Source organism: Homo sapiens, chromosome 11 (assembly GCF_000001405.40).
Source record: "Homo sapiens chromosome 11, GRCh38.p14 Primary Assembly".
Classification (NCBI taxonomy): Eukaryota; Metazoa; Chordata; class Mammalia; order Primates; family Hominidae; genus Homo; species Homo sapiens.
Window position 1 is genome coordinate 34904803 of NC_000011.10, and position 18764 is coordinate 34923566.

The window sequence follows — 18764 nt, forward strand, 5'->3', positions numbered from 1 at the left end:
GTCAAAGCCTGGAGACCTGAGGGAGCAACCCCTGACAACCCAGAGGAATGCCTTGAATATCAATATAAAGAAAGAGGAGATCTTAAGCTGAAAATCACAAAAGTAACTGAATGAAAACTACTTATCTTAGTCTCACCCCTACCTCACCAAATACTTCTTGCCATTTCCACCTCTCCTTTTGAGATTCGCTGCCAAATATTAGAACTTCTTTTTGATGGAAATTATTTACTACGCCACCCTTGCAGGAATTGTTTTACTCACTCTACTATTTGCAGTAGGACTATATGCTGTAGCACCCTCAGGGTGGAATATCAGACAGATAATCTCAATTACTGTAGCATTCTGCTTAATTATTATCCTCATAGCAGGAATAACAGTTATGAAAAGGAAGTAAACATGAGCGTTTTACTATCACTCAGTCTATTAGGACTTTTTATCGGACTTAGTAATACATCACACCCTTTAGCTCCTGCAATATCTGCCATGGTCCATTTGTACAACAAGACTAATTGTTGGGTCTGTCCTAAGTGGTTTGCTCAGTTCAGTGACGCTAAGGAAACTTACAATGACCCAGAATTCACTGTTTTAGGATTCCCTTTATTGGCTTTACCTTTACCCTTAAAGACCTAGCAGGCATAAATTGGACATGGTATGGGAGCAACACTCTGCTCCCAGTGCCGGAGAACACTCTGCCTGAAGATAAGCTTCACATCCTCAGGCTGGGACAAGACTGAGTAACAGCAAATGCCTCTCTCTGCTTTAAAAGCAGCGAGGAAGGACCATGCTTGGGAGATCTCAAATATTGTAACATCATACTTGTAATTGATGTTAGTTCAAATATTTAGGGAGGAGAGTGCAACAAGGGTGATCTAAAAGGATTAGAAGCCCTAGTTGGGGGGCTTTCAGAATCTAGCCTCTCATTCTGGTTGGAAGCCCCGATGGGAGTGGCATGCTCTAAGTAACCACCTTGACTATATTGTAAAGAATAACAGATGGGCCTTTCCAAACATGCCCCCTCATGGAATTCCAGACCGTTGTATCATGTTTGCTAATAGTAGCGGCTTACAGATCTGTGGGCAAACTGGAGGCATCTGGACTGACAGCCCTTGCCACAGGATCATCTGAGATACTGGCCAGGGCATATTATGTCTCTAATTTTTCGAAACTCCATTTGTCAGGTGGACGCTTCTCACTTGACATGTCGAATTCCAAATGGCATCGTAAATATTGTAAATATGGATATCCTTATCCCAAGGATGCCCCTATTATATGTAAAGAAGGGAAACTTCTAAGATATCAGAAAAATCTGCCGGTGTCTCTCACAAGCCACAATTTAGAACTGTCTCTTCAAGGAACAGGGCTACTTTTTTTTTTGTGGCTCCTGGATACATTTAATCCTCCCAAGGCATTGGAAGGGAACTTGTACTATAGTAGCACTAGTTCCTGACTTATTATTTTTAAATTCTACCAAGATGGCAGCATCATCTGGAGTCATCCCTAATTGAGGCTCTTTTCTAGAGACTACACTATCTTGAATACACCAGAGAAAGAGATCTATCATTTCTATGCCCTCATAGGGAGATTTAACTGAAAGAGCAGACTGGGGAGGGCATGCACATGACAATCCCATCTTAGAAAAACCATGAATGGGAAATTCTATAGCCAGAGGTCTAGTCTGGATTACGGGCTTCCCTCTCCTTGAAAGATCAGTACTTACTATTTCTATTATGATGCAACAAGGGTGGAAGGCAACTGTAGGTACCATAGAGGCACGACAGCAATCTACAGACTCTTTCACCACAGTAGCAGCACAGAATAGACGGGGCTTAGACGTCCTCACAGCTGAAGTAGGAGGTACCTGTGCACTTATAAATGAAACATGCTGCTTCTGGATTAACACCTCTAGTAAAGCAGAGGAAAATCTACAGCTACCTAAAGATCAAATCAAAATCATTAAGAGGCTACAAGAACACGCAGGCTTCAGCCCCGGGTGGCTACAATTCCTCTTTAATGAATTCTAGTCTTCTTTATGGAATTGGTTAGCTCCTTTATTAAGTCCACTCCTACTTATATGTCTTGTATTAATATTTGGACCTTGCATACTCAATACTATAACTCAAATCATTTCCTCTTGCCTAGAAGCAATCAATCCAAATGGTGCTGCAAACCGAACCACACGTGGACGTGCCATTCTTCCGAGGACCCTTAGATCAACCCCAGGAGGAGCCCTAGCTGTTGTTCCCCACTTGATGTCCCTTTTCGGCAGGAAGTAGCCAGAAAGAGTTCTTGCCCAAAACCCCCTAACAGCAGTTAGGGTGACATCTCCTCAGGAAGGGAATATTACAGGAGTTATTAAGGAAAAACTATGTTGGTATTTCTTATATCCGTCCTTAAGAAATCTAGCCCAAATTACCTATGCCTGTATAATTTGCTACTTCCTTATTTAGGGATATAAGTGATATTTTAACTACATTTTAAAGTACAGCTAATGGGAAGACTCCTGCAGTCTTCCAACCCTTAAAACCATCAATTTGCACAGCAAATAGCACACATTACAGAAAATGGTCTTTTATTACAGGTCTCCCCTTTCTCTTTTGTCTTTTCCAGTGCTGCGATATTACAGCAATTAGCCAGCTTCAAGCTAAAGCAATAACAATGACAAGGCAGCTGCTGTTAATACATTTTCAATCCTTGAGACCCATAAAATTAAAATTTCAAAGAGATTATCACTTAGCAGGCACCAACAGAGATATACTTGGTGAAAATGAAGTCATTTAAACTGTCCAGAAGAAAGTAACTACCAGAACATATATTTTAACAAGAATTGACAAGAAGGAAAGGTTCAATTGGTATCTAGTTCTCTCCTGAATGTCAATATTACTTTCCTATTATTGTTAGATCTGGTTTTCAGTTATAATAATAATTTTGAAATGTGTATCTAAAGATTGATTACAATCAACTATTTATAGTAGAGGTTCTACAGTGAGGAGGAAACACATTTAACAGCATTTTGTATATATCAAAATCATTAATGTCTAACAAGTTTTGATTTGGTATTAATTTTTCCAATTTTTCAATCTAGTTATTTTAAGGAAATCAGCCTGGCTTGTCTCCGAGATACTACTCACAGCCAACAATGGCTCTAATCCCCTCCCCCATCTTTTCTTTCAACTTAAGCAAATATAGGCATATATTCCTCAGATACAGGTTTTCCTGGAAGACTCTCATACAAGTATAAAATAACATGCATGAGATTAGTAACTCATCAATAAATGGGGAAACTAGTAAGATGTTACAACTGATTCAAAAGGAGAATTCAAAACATACATAATATAAGTAACGAGGAATCCTGACTTAGCAAAACTGGATACTGTCCACAGGTTAACAATAAAATGAATCTCCATTGAACACAACTTGCATTTCCATGAACAACAATCACCTGCGTTAACTGCCAGGATTCCACAACTGAGAGTTGTAAAATAGCATAATAATAACTCCAAGATACCCAGTAAATACTCTTTTTGTTTGTTTCAAAGTCTTTCACTTATTTTCCTGACACTGGGCTCAGGAAGGGACTGAATGCAGGCACAGTAAAGATGAGTCATACTTTCTCTCTGTCCTTGGTCTTCGTTTCATTCTGCACACTTGTTGCACTTGTCTCTCTATGCATCTTGGTTTTCTTTACTTGAATGCCCCAGCTCTCTCTTCTACCTTCACCACACTTAAAAACCCTCCTCCTCCTCATCAGTCAAGTGTTGACTAGAAATCAGAAGACATGGAGCCTGTTTTTAGCTTGGACCCCACTAGCTGTGTGCCCTAAGGCAAGTCAGTGATACTTTCTGGGCATCAGTCTCCTTCTATTAATAATCTGGATCAGTGATCTCCAGACTTCTGAATTAACACCAGTAGTCTGTTCTATGTTGGTATTTCTTATATCTGTCTTAATGAAGGACGGTGGGAGTATATGCTGGGTAGGTGAAGAGGAGAAAGGGCATTTCAGTCAGAAAGAATGCTTAGTAGCTGGAAGTGGTTATAAATTAGGTTCTGCAGGATGGAGGTAAAAGGGAGGCTGAGTCTAAAGGGTCTTCTATGCTATGCACAGGGCTTTGACCTATATTTCATGGATGATTGAAAACCACCAAAGAGTTTGAAACGTAAGATATGTGATAAGAGTCTGTTTTGGAAACATTTGCACAGTGTCAGTAAACGAAAGAGGCTGAAAGGCAGTGGTCAAGAAAGCAAAAGCCCAGAAGAGCAGGGAGGCTGCTGAAAGAGTTTAAAAAGGAAGCTGGAAGGAAGGGACTGTGAAGATGCATTTGGAAGATGAAGGACTTGGGGTGAGAAAACTGAAGGAGACAAACGAAGGCTTCAAAGACTCCCAAGTGTGTGGTCAGCTGAGTAGCTGAGTGGATGATATCGTTCCCTGGGATGTGGGTCAGAAACATTACCATGTGCTGAACACTCTTCTAGGCCCTGGGAATTCAGCTATAAACTGGACCTGAATTCCCAGGGCCTGACCTAAAAGAATTCACACTCTGGGGAGGAGTTTTTAAAAAGTAAACAGAATACATAAATAAACTGTAAAAAGTGCCAAGCAGGAAAGAAACATGGGACTTGGAGAAAAACGGCAGGGATCAACTTTGATTAACGCAGTCAAGGAAGGCCTCTCTGAGCAGGTGGCATTTAATCTAGGACCTAAAAGACATGAACTAAGCCAGTGTGTGATGAATGAGTACGTGTGTGTGTGCAAGGTTTTGTGTTGAGAGAGGCAAGTACTCCAGGCAGAGGAAACAGCAGGTGTGAAGGCTCTGAAGTGAGCAAGTACTTCACAGGCGGAAGATCAGTTGGCTAGAGCAGAGTGAGGAAGTGCTGAGGGTGGCGGAAGATAAATTTGTAGGGGCAAGATGTGGAAGGGCTTGAAAGCTGATGACAACAGTCTTACCAGAAAGGAAATGATTCCTAATAGGAGACACGGGGAGAAGGAGAGAAATAATTATAGAAGGTGAGAGGGCTTGGAGATCCTGAGCTCTAGTGGAGGAACTGGGCTTCTTGCCTTTCATGAAATGAGAGAAGCTGGGTTCACATTCCAGCAGATTGGTAGGTTTTGTGGTAGGAAGGTGAGGAAGTTCATTACCTAATGACTTCTATTGTCTTCAGTATAAACAAAGTCATCAGCTGAGTATGGCAACAGGGTATGAGAGGCTTGACAAGAGAATAAAAGGTATAAAACAGTCATCTTTGGGAGTGGAACACCGAACTACTAGAGAAACAAAGATGGGCTGTTGGGCAGCAGTAAGTGACGATTTGAGGTTGAAATCATGAAGCAAGGCCAGACAACAAAGTTGTGCAATATTCTCCAGCAATGTTCAGCTGCTCAATGCCAGCCCAAAGAAATGGGTGGCAGGGTTCATCCTGGCTAAAGGTTTGGCTAGGCCAACTCCATATGTAAATTAGGTCAACCACGACCTTAAGTAACAACTGTTTCAATAGACTGGGTGTGGAAGCAAGATCGCAGTGAGCTTCACTCACTTTCATTTAGAAGTAAATGAAACTTGGAGGCATGGAGTTCTAATGACTCTTTCAATAGTGTTGCTATAAAGAAGGGCTAGACAGGGAAAAAGAAGGGAAAAACTGGTTAATTAAGACAGTTTTCTGTTACATGCTAACGGGTAACATGAGGAGACAGGGAAAGATTAAACATACAGGAAAGCAGAGGTCTAAGAGGTCAGCCTTTGTCGAGATAGAGAAGCTGGCATTAGAAAAACAGGAATGGGAGGAAAGGTAAAGATGCAGGTAAGTATGTAATAATATTAACAATGTAATATTAAATATGTAATAATACCACTGATAATAAGAATTGCTAACATTTCTTTATAGAGTGCTTATTTTGTGCCAGGCATTTTTCTAAAGCCTTTATATGGAATACTTTACTTTATCCTTATAACAACCCTATTGTACTAAGAGAGATTAAGTAACTTGTCCAAGGCCACCAAGATAGCAAGAGGCAGAGCCAGAATTTGAACCCAGGCAGTCTGATTCTAGATCCTGGTCCTTAACCTTTACATTATACTGCATGTGGAAAGAGGAAGACATTAAGAAGTTCACACCTAATAGCTTTCAGTTTCTTTGTGATTTTGGAGGCAAGGTCACCTTTGAAACAGGTGTGGGGTAAAGGATGAGGTGAAATGATGAGGTTCTGGAACAGCTACTTAGGGGAATGTAAAAGGAAACTCCCCAGAGGACTGTCACATGCTACTCAGAGGCCAGCTGCAGTAAGACACCAGAATACTTGTAGACACACTAATTCATATAGTTGAATATACCCAAAAAAGTGTATGGTAAAAGGGTAGGGGTTGGGCAGAGAAGGATATGACCATGGGAATGGGATGTTAGAGTGAGGGGGCGGTAAAGATGAACAGCAGTGATGAGGTCAAGGAAAAAAAAAGGGCAAGGTACTGGATGTACTTGTGCTGCAGAAATATCAAAGAAAAAATATTTGTTCAGTGTCAACATATATAGGACACTGTGATAGTTAAGGTAAAATTAAAAAAATAGAAGTAGTCCCTACCTGGTTTTTCTCTGCAACTAAGCAGAGAATGGGCTCTTGGTATAGCTATACCTACCACAGTGCTTTGCTCAATAAACGTTGGTTGCATTAACATCATATCTCTTACATTAAAAAAAGTCCTGTATCAGAGGTTATGGTATTTTGTGGACTGCTTCAGGCTCACAGGAAGTTGTTTATTTGGTCTACGCAATGCTTAGAAAGAGTCTGAGCCTAAATTTTAAAATCAAGAGATTTCATATAAAATCTGAGTTTCCAGTTTCCCTTAAAAAAGCAAAACTAAACAATGGGCCCATAATACTCCCACATAGCAAAAACGATCAGTGTTGTGTAGTGCTACCTCTTAAAACAGGGCATATGCTGGCCCTAGTATCTTCTTTTTGGTTTCCATCTGGCCAATCTAAAATGCCATATTCTCCATGAAGTCTTCCATGAGTCACTGTATGAAATGACCTTCCCCTCCCTCTATACTTGCAAAATACTTTGTCATCCCCTAATGGAACTTCATCCTTTCCCCCCATGCCCCACTGCCCATTACTGGTATATATTAATTATAAATATGCATTTGCAACTGCCCAAGTTTCTGAAAAATAGGAACAACTTACTCATGTTTGCATTTTTCAGCCTGGACTTCAATATACGGTTTCTGAGTAAATGCTTTCTTTTTTAGGGAAACACTCCTTGACTTTTGCTGATGTTAGAAAAAATCAGTTCAAGGGCCAGTCAGTAGGGATTTAATTTCAGAGCTGTAAAACCAGGTCAGAGATTATTGTCATAAGCTGAGTCTGACCCGAAAATAATACACTTGATGCCTGAAGAATCTTTAGAATACAAGAAGAAAGTACATGAAACATAAGTCACTTGGGGATGTTACTGCAAATGATAATAAAAATTATTGAATGGGCTACAGAGTGTTCAGAAAAGATATATAATATCTTTTATAATATGTGTTCAGAAAAGAGTGTCTATCAAAGACAGAATAATATAAATACACAGGTCTTGAGAGCGAAGGTTTTGGTGAGCAAGTCTTCCAAATCTTTATCTCCAATCCAGTTCTCTCTCCTAGCTTGAAAGCAATACCCAGTGTGATGGTTAATACTGAGTGTCAACTTGACTGGATTGAAGGATACAAAGTATTGATCCTAGGTGTGTCTGTGAGGGTGCTGCCAAAGGAGGATTAACATTTTGAGTCAGTGGGCTGGGAAAGGCAGGCCCACCCTTAATCTGGATGAGCACAATCTAATCAGCTGCCAGCATGGCTAGAATACAAGCAGGCAGAAAAATGTGAAAAGGGAGACTGGCCTAGCCTACATCTTTCTCCCGTGCTGGATGCTTCCCGACTTGAACACTGGACTCCAAGTTCTTCAGTTTTGGAACTCAGACTGGCTCTCCTCGCTCCTCAGCCTGCAAACGGCCTATTGCGGGATCTTGGGTTCACGTGAGTTAATGCTTAATAAACTTCCCTTTATATATATATTCCATTAGTTCTGTCCCTCTAGAGAACCCTGCTAAATACACTCAGTGTATAGTACCACATGCTGAGGCTGTACCTCAAACTCAACATGTCCACAACACACCCATCATAAACTGTTTCTTCCTCCTGTATTCTCTTTCTGGTGGACCACCAGGCCCCAATCACTAGATCAGAAGCCTAAAAGTCATTCTTGACTTCTTTTCTCACTACACACATCTAATCAATAACCAAGACCTCCTGATTTTACTCCCTCACTCAGACCTACAGCATCTCTTGCTTGGATGCCTGCCACGGCTTCCTAGTCTGTCTCCATGCCTCTGGTCTTTTTAACTCTAGCCAGCAATCCCCAGGCCTTCTTCAGTCATCCTGCTGATTATCTCATTGCCCTTAGTTTAAAAATCTAAGATTTGCTTAACAGGCCCTTTAGGTCTGGTCCTAGTTTGTCCAGAATTGGTTCCTTCCCGTGGGTTCTTGGTCTCACTGACTTCAAGAATGAAGCCGCGGACCCTTGCGGTGAGTGTTACAGTTCTTAAAGATGGTGTGTACGGAGTTTGTTCGTTCAGATGTTCAGAGTTTCTTCCTTCTGGTGGGTTCGTGGTCTTGCTGACTTCAGGAGTGAAGCTGCAGACTTTCACAGTGAGTGTTACAGCTCTTAAAGGTGGCACGCAGGTTGTTCGTTCCTCCCGGTGGGTTCATGGTCTCGCTGACTTCAGGAATGAAGCCGCAGACCTTCGCAGGGAGTGTTACAGCTCATAAAGGTAGTGCGGACCCATAGAGTGAGCAGCAGCAAGATTTATTGTGAAGAGCGAAAAAACAAAGCTTCCACAGCCTGGAAGGTGACCGAGGGGGGTTGCCGCTGCTGGCTCTGGTGGCCAGCTTTTATTCCCTTATTTGGCCCCACCCACATCCTGCTGATTGGTCCATTTTACAAAGAGCTGATTGGTGGGTTTACAAACCTTTAGCTAGACACAGAGCGCCGATTGGTGCATTTACAATCCTTTAGCTAGACAGAAAAGTTCTCCAAGTCCCCATCCGACCCAGAAGCCCAGCGGCTTTACCTCTCACTAGCTTTTCTCTTTAGCTTCATCTCAAGTCTCTGGCCCCTACTTTATGTTCCAGAACACCAAACTTAATATGGGAACACACCATGTCTGTAATCAAGGACAACCCTGAGATTGTGTACATGCTACTTCCCCTACTTGGAATATCCTTACTTTCATTGCATGTGGTTATGTCTTCCTGATCCTTTAGGCCTCAGTAGATACTTTCACTGTTTCCTGAGGTATTCTCTAACCCATTCAAGTGTATACTCCTAAACTACCTTGAACTTTCCCATCTAAGTCATATCGTCATATGTCAAACTATGTCATGTTGTCATACCATCTTTGTCTCTTTGCTAATTTGTCTCTTCCACTGTACAGCATGTTCTAGGGGAGAAGGAACCAGATGCAGCTTGCACTTATAAATCCACAATGCCTGGCACATAGTAGGCGCTCACTAAATATTCGTTGAATTAATCACTTACAGTTGAACATTCCCCTTCCTTAAGGCCAAAGAGACTGTCTCTTTCCATTGCCCATGACCCCCTAAAACTACAATGAAATTTTATGACTTCTTAAAACTTTTCTTATTGCTGTTTTTATGTATTTGTACAAAACCAGACAAATACAAATATCTAGAGGGGCTCATGTATTTAACTAGATATGCAAATCCAGTGTGAGTAGTGGAAGCTGTGGTAACCTGGCCAGCACCCTCTGTAAAGGTGGTGTTCACTAGTAACCGCAATCCAGATCCCATGAAAAAATAAGGGCCCAATGTCACCATGTGTTCTGAGGTTTTAAAAGAAGCTGAAATGATTCTGGATTTTGAAATGTTGGCTTGGCAGGGCGTGGTGGCTTACACCTGTAATCCCAGCACTTTGGGCAGCTTAGGGGGGTGGATCACCTGAGATAACGAGTTCGAGACCAGCCTGGCCAACATGGTGAAACCCAGTCTCTACTAAAAATACAAAAATTAACTGGGTGTGGTGACATGCGCCTGTAATCCCAGCTACTTGGGAGGCTGAGGCAGGAAAATCGCTTGAACCAAGGAGGCAGAAGTTGCAGTGAGCTGAGATCACGCCACTGCACTCCAGCCTGGGCAACAAGAGCAAAACGTGTCAAAAAAAAAAAAAAAAAAAAAAAAAGGTTGGCTCAAATTTTTCATGAACATTGAGTGCAGCAAAAAAAAAACATGCCTGTCCACCAAGCTGTCTGTGGGCCATGTTTGGTTTGAGAATCCTAGTTTATTCTCGGGTCCCTTAAGGCTCTCTTTGATGCTCATTCTGATGACATTACACTAAGATTTACTGATTGAGGGTACGGACACTTCTCCATACACACTTGCCCAGGAACGATCTCCAGTTACCTGTCCTGTCTCCAAGATCTTCTCTCTCTCATCCAATCTTGCCTATGCAGCATTCTATTTTCAGAGTCGTCTTTGCTAATTTGGGGAAGTCACTTATTCAAACAAGAAAGTGGTTGACAAATGTTTAGCAATGAAATCTCCCGCGAGTTACTACTTTTTAATTAGGATTTTCAACCCTAAGAAAGATATAGATAGGAGGAATAAGATAGGGGGAATAAGGAAACTAATTTTGAGGGGTTTCCCTGCCTCTTAGGTGGGGTTTATCATATTGTGCTGAAACTGCTTATTCGTCTAGTTCTCCAGACCCTGGGCCATTTATCTTACGTATCCCTATCTCTGAGCGTGTAGAAGGCGCTCCATAAAACTGTTGGTTTGTGTAAATGACCGAAAACTACATGCAGCGTGAGGGTGGATTTCCCTTTGACTTCGGCTTAAGGAAGAATCGTTCCCATGATCATCCCACAATTCATCTAAACGGAGATAGGCAAGGAGCAACTGCTCAAAGGCAAAGCGCTGGCAGCTGAGGCACAGCTCCGGTTCGGCAAACGTCTCCCGAGTGCCAAACGTCCCCCCAAACGCCTAACTGGTCGTCAGGGCGCAGAAAAGAAGCTTGGGGGGCGCGGTCTTCGCCCCAGCTCCACTTCGGTGCTTCACGATTCCTTCTCTGGCCTGCCTTCCTGATAAATACCCGGTGAGGTCACCTAAACGCTCTCCTCTCTCAGTTATTTGCTTCTTTCCAACGTTTGGCGCCCAGCTCCCGCCATCGGAGCGCCCCGCCCGAGACCACTGATCTCCTGGGGCCTCGCAGCCTTGCTTCCGAACGCCAAGGTCGCGGTGCGCCGGGGTAGCGAACGGCCAGGCCCGAAACCCCGCCCCGCAGCTAAACGCCCGGCCCGCTACCCTGCGCCCAGCTCCAGCCGCCGGGTCCCGCCTGGGCCTCTCCTCCTGGGAATACCGGGCACCGGTGGCCCCGCCCCTACCTGCGCGCCGCATCTCCGGGAACAACAGTCTCCCTCCCGAGCATCACAGCCAGACATGGCCCAGACCAGGGACCCGCGCGGCCTCCAATCTCCGCACGGCTTTGCGCGCGGCGCTTAGCCTGGGATACGGCAGCGAGGCCGCAAATGCAATCAGGCGGCGCTGAGGGCAGCCCGGGGGCGGGGCGAACGGGGCGGGGGCCGGGGTCTGGTAAGGCCCCGCCGGCTGAGATATCCAGCGGCGCACCTGACTTCCCGGGAGGCAAGGCCAACGTGGTTGGAGGCGGGGCTGGGTTGGGGGGCGGGGGTTCAAGTCTGAGAGACCTAAAGGCACCGCTAGCGTCTGGGGGCGTGGCCAACCATGCGGGAGGCGGGGCCTTGATGCTGGACATCAGGCTGTGCTGCGGGCAGCCAGTGAGAAGGCCGTCAAGATGGCGGCCTCCTGGAGGCTGGGCTGTGATCCGCGGCTGCTGCGTTATCTTGTGGGCTTCCCCGGCCGCCGAAGCGTAGGGCTGGTGAAGGGGGCTCTTGGGTGGTCTGTAAGCCGCGGAGCTAATTGGAGATGGTTTCACAGCACGCAGTGGCTTCGGGGTGAGTGGCCGGGGCTCGCTCAGCTTCTCTGTGTAGCTGAGTGATGGGCCTGGGACAGGGGCAGTTATGATTGAGGGCCTGCTTTTGGGTGTGAAGGTGCGCGGGCTCCTTATTCCCTTTCCTCTTTCTCCGGTTGGGGTCCGCCGACTTGGCCTAATGCATGCTGTGAAGGGCTTTCTTGGCAGCTGAGAGAACTCGACTCTGCCCTAGGCCCCCTGGTTTGTATGGCTTTGTGACCTTGCCTTGGAATTTGGGTTATTTGTGAGGCGCAGAGAGGGTTCCCAAACTCTCCTCCCTCAGCCCCCTTTCCAATCAAGGCTCAGGTTTCTTTAGGGTTGTCAAACGTCTCGGACGAGAAAAAGCTGCCCAAGGTTGCCGAGATTGAAAAGCCACTGTTGGGAGTTCTTACTTATTCTCTAGGCCTCTCTCTGTTAGGAGGTGTTTTCATTGAGGCCAGTCGAGTTTTACCCCACGCCATGACTCGTGGAAGACTTAAATTTGTAAATTCCTACGGCATCACGATAGACAAAGGTCCAGGAGAATGTTTCAAGCAAATATTCGCTTGAAAGAGCAAACATTTAGGAGATAAATCATACCAAAAATTTATTATAGAAAATTGTTGTTTAGTAATGATATTGATGCAGTTAACACAATTCTTGCAGTATTTAACAGTATGCAAAATGGCAGGCCGGGTATTATTTTTCCTTATTTTGGGAGAAGGTTGGAGGGAGGCGGGGATGGAGAATAGGACTGACGTTTTTTAGTGTGACGTATTACCTGCCAATCATCGTTCCTGGCACTCTACAGAATGAATTTTAATTTAAATAGGTCTAGTAGACGTTGCCTTCATATTCTGAGCTACCTTAGGCTCAGAAAAAAAAAATCACACAAAGTCATATGGTAAGATGAGTGTATTGGGGTTCCTAAAGGTTCCTTAATGGGAACAATTTATTTCATTTTTGGTGTAATGTTTCATAACATATTCCTTGGAGCAGAGGTGCTTTAACAGTGTGTGCAGAATTCCTTCTCTTCCCTCCTCCAAGTTTGTTGAAATTAAACTTTTTTCCAGCTCCTAGAGATTCGGTCTGGTCTGGTGTGGGGCTCAGGAATCTGCATTTTACAAATGTTGGATGAGTTTTGATGTTTTATTTTGACATTTAATGGAATGAGCTTTGAGACTCACTGCCTTAGAAAATCATGGAATATTAAAAGTTTAGTATTGGATATAATCTAGGAAGAGTGCTCTTAATCTTGTTTATCAAGCAGATCCTTTTGAGAATCTTTGAAAATGTTACAGACTCTCTGTACAGAGGAAGTACCATAAATGGTCACACACAAAAATGTGCACGTAGTGGCTCACGCCTGTAATCCCAGCACTTTGGGAGGCGAAGCTGGAAGATTGCTAGAGCCCAGGAGTTGGAGACCAGCCCGGGCAACAAAGTGAGACCCCCGTCTCTACTTAAAAAAAAAAAAAGAAAGAAAAAAAGCCAGGCGTGCTGGCATCCCAGCTACTCCAGGGGCTGAGGCAGGAGGATCCGTTGAACCCAGGAGTTAGACGTTTCATTGAGCTATGATCCTGCCGCTGCACTTTAGCCTGGGTGACAGAGTGAGACCCTGTCTCAGGAGAAAAAAAAAAAAAAGTATACATAGGCCCAGTTTAATGCCTTTAGAAACTCAGTTAGGCAAGCAATCCTTATCTGCATCCTCATGATGCTTTTTTACCTATTCCCTATCCCCTAGACATATACCATGAACAACTTGTCTACCCCAGTTTGAATACCATCTGTCAGGAAGAAGGCATGGCATCTCAAGGAAAGCCAAATTAGTTTTCTAGTGCTGCTGCAACAAATTACCAGAAATTAGTGGCTTAAAACAACACAAATTCACATCTCATAGTTCTAGAGGTCCGAAGTCCAAAATGGATCTAACTAGGCTAAAATCAAGCTATTGGTAGGAGCTGCATTCTTTTCTGGAGGCTCGAGACCCCATTCCCTTAAGTTTTCCAGATTCTAGAGGTTTCTAAGATTCTTTGACTCATGGGCTTCAAAGTCAGCAATGGCTGGTTCAGTCTTTATCACATTACGTCACTCTTAATACTCCCCTCTGCCTTCTGCCACTTACAAGGACCCTTGTGATTACATTGGGCTCATCTGGATGATCCTGAATATTTTCCCCATCTCAAGGTTGAGTAGAAACCTTAATTCCATCTTTAACCTTAATTCCCTCTTGCCATGTAACAGCATATTCATAGGTTCTGGGTATTAGGACGTGAACCTTTTGAGGCATGGCATTCTGCATGTGAAGCTGTGGAAAGTATTTGGAAATACTAAGTATTTGGAAGTGTTGGACTTTTTTCCTAATACCGAGCCAAAATATATCCGCTTCTGACTTTCACCTACATACAGATTTTTGTTTTGCCATGCCGAAAACACGTGGCAATCCTTGAACTATTTGTTTTACAAACTGTGAATTTACGGTGGTGTTTTTTCTCTGAGCTTGGTAGAAACTGTAGTTTTATAAAACTAAACAACTATTTGGATTACTGTAAACTATATAAATTAAGTACATTTATTGAACTGTTTCGTCTTTCACACAAATATCTTTAAAAATTTGTCAGTCGGAACTACCTTTGGAGTTTTAATTTCCTTAAGAGGTGCTGGCAGCATTTTTATGAGCTATGACATATGCCATTTTCTTAGCACTTTCTAGAATTTCTCATTCACTTCTCACATAACCTAGTAAAGTTGGCATCATCTGCATTTAGTTGGACAAAAACACCAAGGCTTAGAGAAATTGAGTCTCCTAAAGACATGTAACTGTGTTGATGAACTGAAGTGCATGTATATATTTATATACATATATTAATTTGTTTAACAAATCTTTAATTTGTATCATTCTCTCAACAGATTTATTGAGAATGCAGAGACTATCTTTTTTACCACTTACATTATTGAAGAATGAGTGAAGAAATTAGCATCTATTAGGTGCCAGGCACATGGTACCCTGCTTGGGAAGTAGTGGCCAGCTGAATCAAACAGATTCTCAGTATTTGCCACATGGCACATTTAATCATACTTAGCTCCTGGACATGCAATCCAAAATTCTATATAGGGCTGATCCTTAAGGTATTTGTAGTCTCTTTGGGGACATAAACAATAAAGGTATGATTTCAATAGTGTATACAGTAAGCTCAGAGGGGGTAAGTTTGAAATGATCAGGAAATAATATATAAGGCAGCTTCTTAGAGGAAGAGGTGACAGCCCTTACAGGCTGAAGGAACAGCAGAAACAAAGACCCAGAGACCAGAGTGATCATTATATAATTGACACAGCATCTGTAAACAGTTTTTCAACCTACTCTAGACAGTTAACTTCAGAGAGTTTAAATTGTGGTCCTTTCAGAGTAGGTAGCATGATTTGGAATATAATTGGTAAGATGTTAATTAATAGTATTGGTTTTAAGTTGTCTCTGAAGAATAACATGTTGAATTTAAAATAACCTGTGAATAGAAAAGTAACTGAGGTTCAATCTTGGTGGCGATTTGCCTAGTATATAATTATAGGCAATACATATTATAGATGTTCAATAAACATATCTAAGGAAGCTAGTAATCTAGGAAGTTATAAAAGAACACTAGAGCCTACAGTAGGATTCCAAGTTGGCAGCCAGGGAACTGACCCACATTGTTTTAGCAGAAAAACTTATGGCAAAATTTTAAAATCAGGAGACTTTACAGAGAAATCTAGATTTTTGTTCTCTCTTTAAAATTGATAGTTAAATCCTATGTGGTGACAATTATCTAACACTGAGTAATGATTGTTCTTTTTAGGTAGGAAATTGCTTCCTACTTTGTCACTATGCCGCCTACTCTGTATTACATCTTAGCAAGGCTGAATGTCCCTTGGTATTTGCATCACCTCTAGTTGTCATTTTTTTTTCTTGTACTCTTATCTCTACGGAAGGCAGAAGACAAAAGACCAAGAAAAATGGGAGAAAGCAGATATTGTGTATATGTGTAAAGGAGGAAAATGCTTATCCATTTAATATGAAAATAAAGGATGTCAGAATCTAAAGAAAAAACCTGAAGATGCTAGTCCTCTTCTCTCACCTGCCTGTTTTTTGTAGGCATCTGAGTTTTTGACAGCAGTGCTATAACCAGGAGAGAGGGAACTTCTTTGATAGAGTTAATGGTATGGTATTTCTGCCAAAACACGGATACTCTTTTAGGCCTGGTTCTTATTAAGTGCTTATACACTGATAAGATTGATATTCTCCTTTGAATTCTCATTTAACTGTGGAAACAGAAACATGTAGAATAGCTCTAGTAAAAGTAGGATTTATTAAAAGGATAGAACATCACTTATAAAATGCTGCAGGGCCATGGGGAAACCATAATTATTCCATCTATTTCTTCTAGGGCTCATATTATTTGTCTTCTTTCTCTTATTTACTTTGTTTTCCTGTACAGACTTGCAATTATCAATCTGTTTACTCCTGGCTTTTCTTTCTCAGTGTCAGCTTGCCTTGCCTCAGTGGTGATTCAGGCCTTTATGCACGATGCGCTGTCAGTTTTGTTTAAGTGCTCACCATCATTTCTGTAATCTCCTTTCAAATTCCTTGAATAGAGAAACTGACCCAAAGTAGACCAGTTGTGCTACAGGGCATGCAAGGCTGATTCTTTCGAAGGCTACGATTTGGACATTTTCTTTAAGAAAGTAGTTGAGAATCAATGATTGACATTTCTGTTGCTATGACCATCTGACTAAAATAGGCCAGTAATGCAGTATTTTATTTTATTTTATTTATTTTAATTGTTTCTGCGCTAAGTAATGACCAAGCAAAGTGTATCATCTAAGCAAAGCACTTGTAGGCTACTCAGCTGAGATGTTTGCCCATCCAAAGAAAATAGGACAGGGGTAAATGAGATCTTACTACAGGCAGCAACAGGAGGGACTAAGAAGATTTAGATGATCAGGAAATACTTTGTATATGTTTACCTTGTTTTAAAGGATTTTATTCTGTCTATGAAAGCAGGGTATTAGAAGTAGCCATCACATACTGAGCTCTCACTATATTTGCATTACTTCTAACCATCATAAAAACCCTGCAAAGGTTTGCCAGGTTTCACGGGAGAAGAAATAGACTCAGAGAGGTTTTAGCATTTTACCCAAGGTTAGTGGATAAGTGGATGACCACTTTGGAACTGTGCACGTGATGACATCCAGAGGAAGAAGAGAGGACCTTTCTTCTTGGATGTCTTTTTTGCAGAACAAGAAACATCTTCTGTTACCACAGCAGAATTTTCTTATATTGTATTGACCAGAATTGGGTCGTATGCCCTTTCTTAAGTTAGGCACTGGCTTGACTTCACTGTGTGAAAAATGTATAGACTTTGGCTAATCAAGGGGATGGGTGTGGAATCACTAACTCTGAGTACATATGCACAAGAAAAGTATATTGCTGAACAAAGTTGAGCTACCAGCAAGAAAGAAATTTGGGGATAGGTTTGGGAATAATAAGTAGCATTTGTTGAGAGCTTACTATATACTATGCACCCTTGTAAGCACTTTACATGAATCAGCTCATTTAATACTCACAACTAATACTATACTCTGGTAGATAGTTCAGGTTTCAACCCAGATCTGACACCAATGCCTGTTTCCTTAACCATAGTCTACCTCAGTATCAAGTGATAGCTTGATTATAGATTTCAGCAGAACAGTGTCAGCATGCTGACGTTTTAAAGTTCACCGTGTGTACATCCTAAATGAACATTTTTGCTTTTTTTAAAAAAATGAAATCAGACATAGTAATAACCGCATTGTAGACTAGCATTTCTGTGACAGCCTATCATTTTAGAACAATTAAGGACACCAAAATTCTTGACTACGTGTAAGGGTGGCAGGACTATTTAAGAGAGTTAGAGTATATATTGACTTCTCCTATCTGTAAATTTCTAAGGTGATGTACTCTTAAATATACCTTCTTGTTGTTGTCTTGAGCTTAATTTGCCTTTTACGACAAAATGTGTAAATTCCCAAAGTATCGTTGTGTGTGTGTGTGTGTGTGTGTGTGTGTGTGTGTATGTATTCTTTTGCTAGGCTGTAAATGGAATGGTAATTTCTTTTGGCTCTTCTCCCAAGATGGCAAAGTAAAGTGAACTTCATGTAGAATTTTAATTTTATAGTTTAATACCAAGAAGGACAGTATTCCAAGCTGAAATCTCTTCTAAAATGTTTGGTTTATTTCATTCAAAGGAAATGCATTCTACACCATATGCTATCTAAAAATTCTGGCTAACCTCTTTTCTAATGTGCCATTGGATACTAAGTAGAAGTATAATAATATAGAATCAGCAGATTCTATGAACAAGATGGGGTATATGGGTGATTCATTTTTTTGGTAGGCAGTACATTTACTATAGCTAGTGATCTGCTTGATATCTTTCTGTTACTGTATAAATCAAGGACTTTATTATATGAAACATTCCTAGGGAAAAATTAGGATCAGCAAATGTATAATTCAGGAGAGATTTCTTGGGAATATATTAGCCCTGGTTTTTGGAGGGGAACAAATCTGTTAAACTATAAAAGCTATACCACTAACTTCTTCAGGAAAGTGCATACATACACAATTTTATATATAATTCTGAGTCCAGAGGACTCAGATCTCCCTGTAATTTGTCTGTAAATACCACCTAGTCTAGAGACTATTTCCATAAACATTTTGGTCATTTCCTAGCTTTTTTTTG

At 41.8% G+C, this 18764-nt stretch overlaps 2 protein-coding genes across 7 annotated transcripts in view, besides 3 other annotated features; one reads left to right on the forward strand and one right to left on the reverse strand.

The window, feature by feature from the left end:
- APIP (APAF1 interacting protein) overlaps positions 1-11577 on the reverse strand; it is a 34085-nt gene extending 22508 nt beyond the window's left edge. For 2 of the 3 annotated variants that reach the window (NM_015957.4, XM_011520154.4), the window contains exon 1: positions 11426-11577. In NM_015957.4, coding sequence (NP_057041.2) covers positions 11426-11482 — 57 coding nt within the window. In that variant the 5' untranslated portion in view covers positions 11483-11577. Of the gene's footprint in view, positions 1-7170; positions 7312-11425 lie in introns of all 3 variants that reach the window. The other variant, XM_017017875.3, reaches the window with a different exon arrangement.
- Positions 11118-18764, forward strand: part of PDHX (pyruvate dehydrogenase complex component X) — an 80209-nt gene continuing 72562 nt past the window's right edge. For 2 of the 4 annotated variants that reach the window (NM_003477.3, NM_001166158.2), the window contains exon 1: positions 11816-12013. In NM_003477.3, the coding sequence (NP_003468.2) occupies positions 11854-12013 (160 nt within the window). In that variant the 5' untranslated portion in view covers positions 11816-11853. Of the gene's footprint in view, positions 11137-11635; positions 11685-11815; positions 12014-18764 lie in introns of those variants that run through there. The other 2 variants (XM_011520390.2, NM_001135024.2) reach the window with 2 other exon arrangements.
- Positions 11238-11577: a silencer, noted in NCBI's record as "silent region_3253". NCBI's record gives its function as "represses an Ori minimal core promoter by ATAC-STARR-seq in GM12878 lymphoblastoid cells {active_cell/tissue: GM12878}" and the evidence as "EXISTENCE:reporter gene assay evidence [ECO:0000049][PMID:35858748]".
- Positions 11598-11647: a silencer, noted in NCBI's record as "silent region_3254". NCBI's record gives its function as "represses an Ori minimal core promoter by ATAC-STARR-seq in GM12878 lymphoblastoid cells {active_cell/tissue: GM12878}" and the evidence as "EXISTENCE:reporter gene assay evidence [ECO:0000049][PMID:35858748]".
- Positions 11818-12117: an enhancer, noted in NCBI's record as "active region_4608". NCBI's record gives its function as "activates an Ori minimal core promoter by ATAC-STARR-seq in GM12878 lymphoblastoid cells {active_cell/tissue: GM12878}" and the evidence as "EXISTENCE:reporter gene assay evidence [ECO:0000049][PMID:35858748]".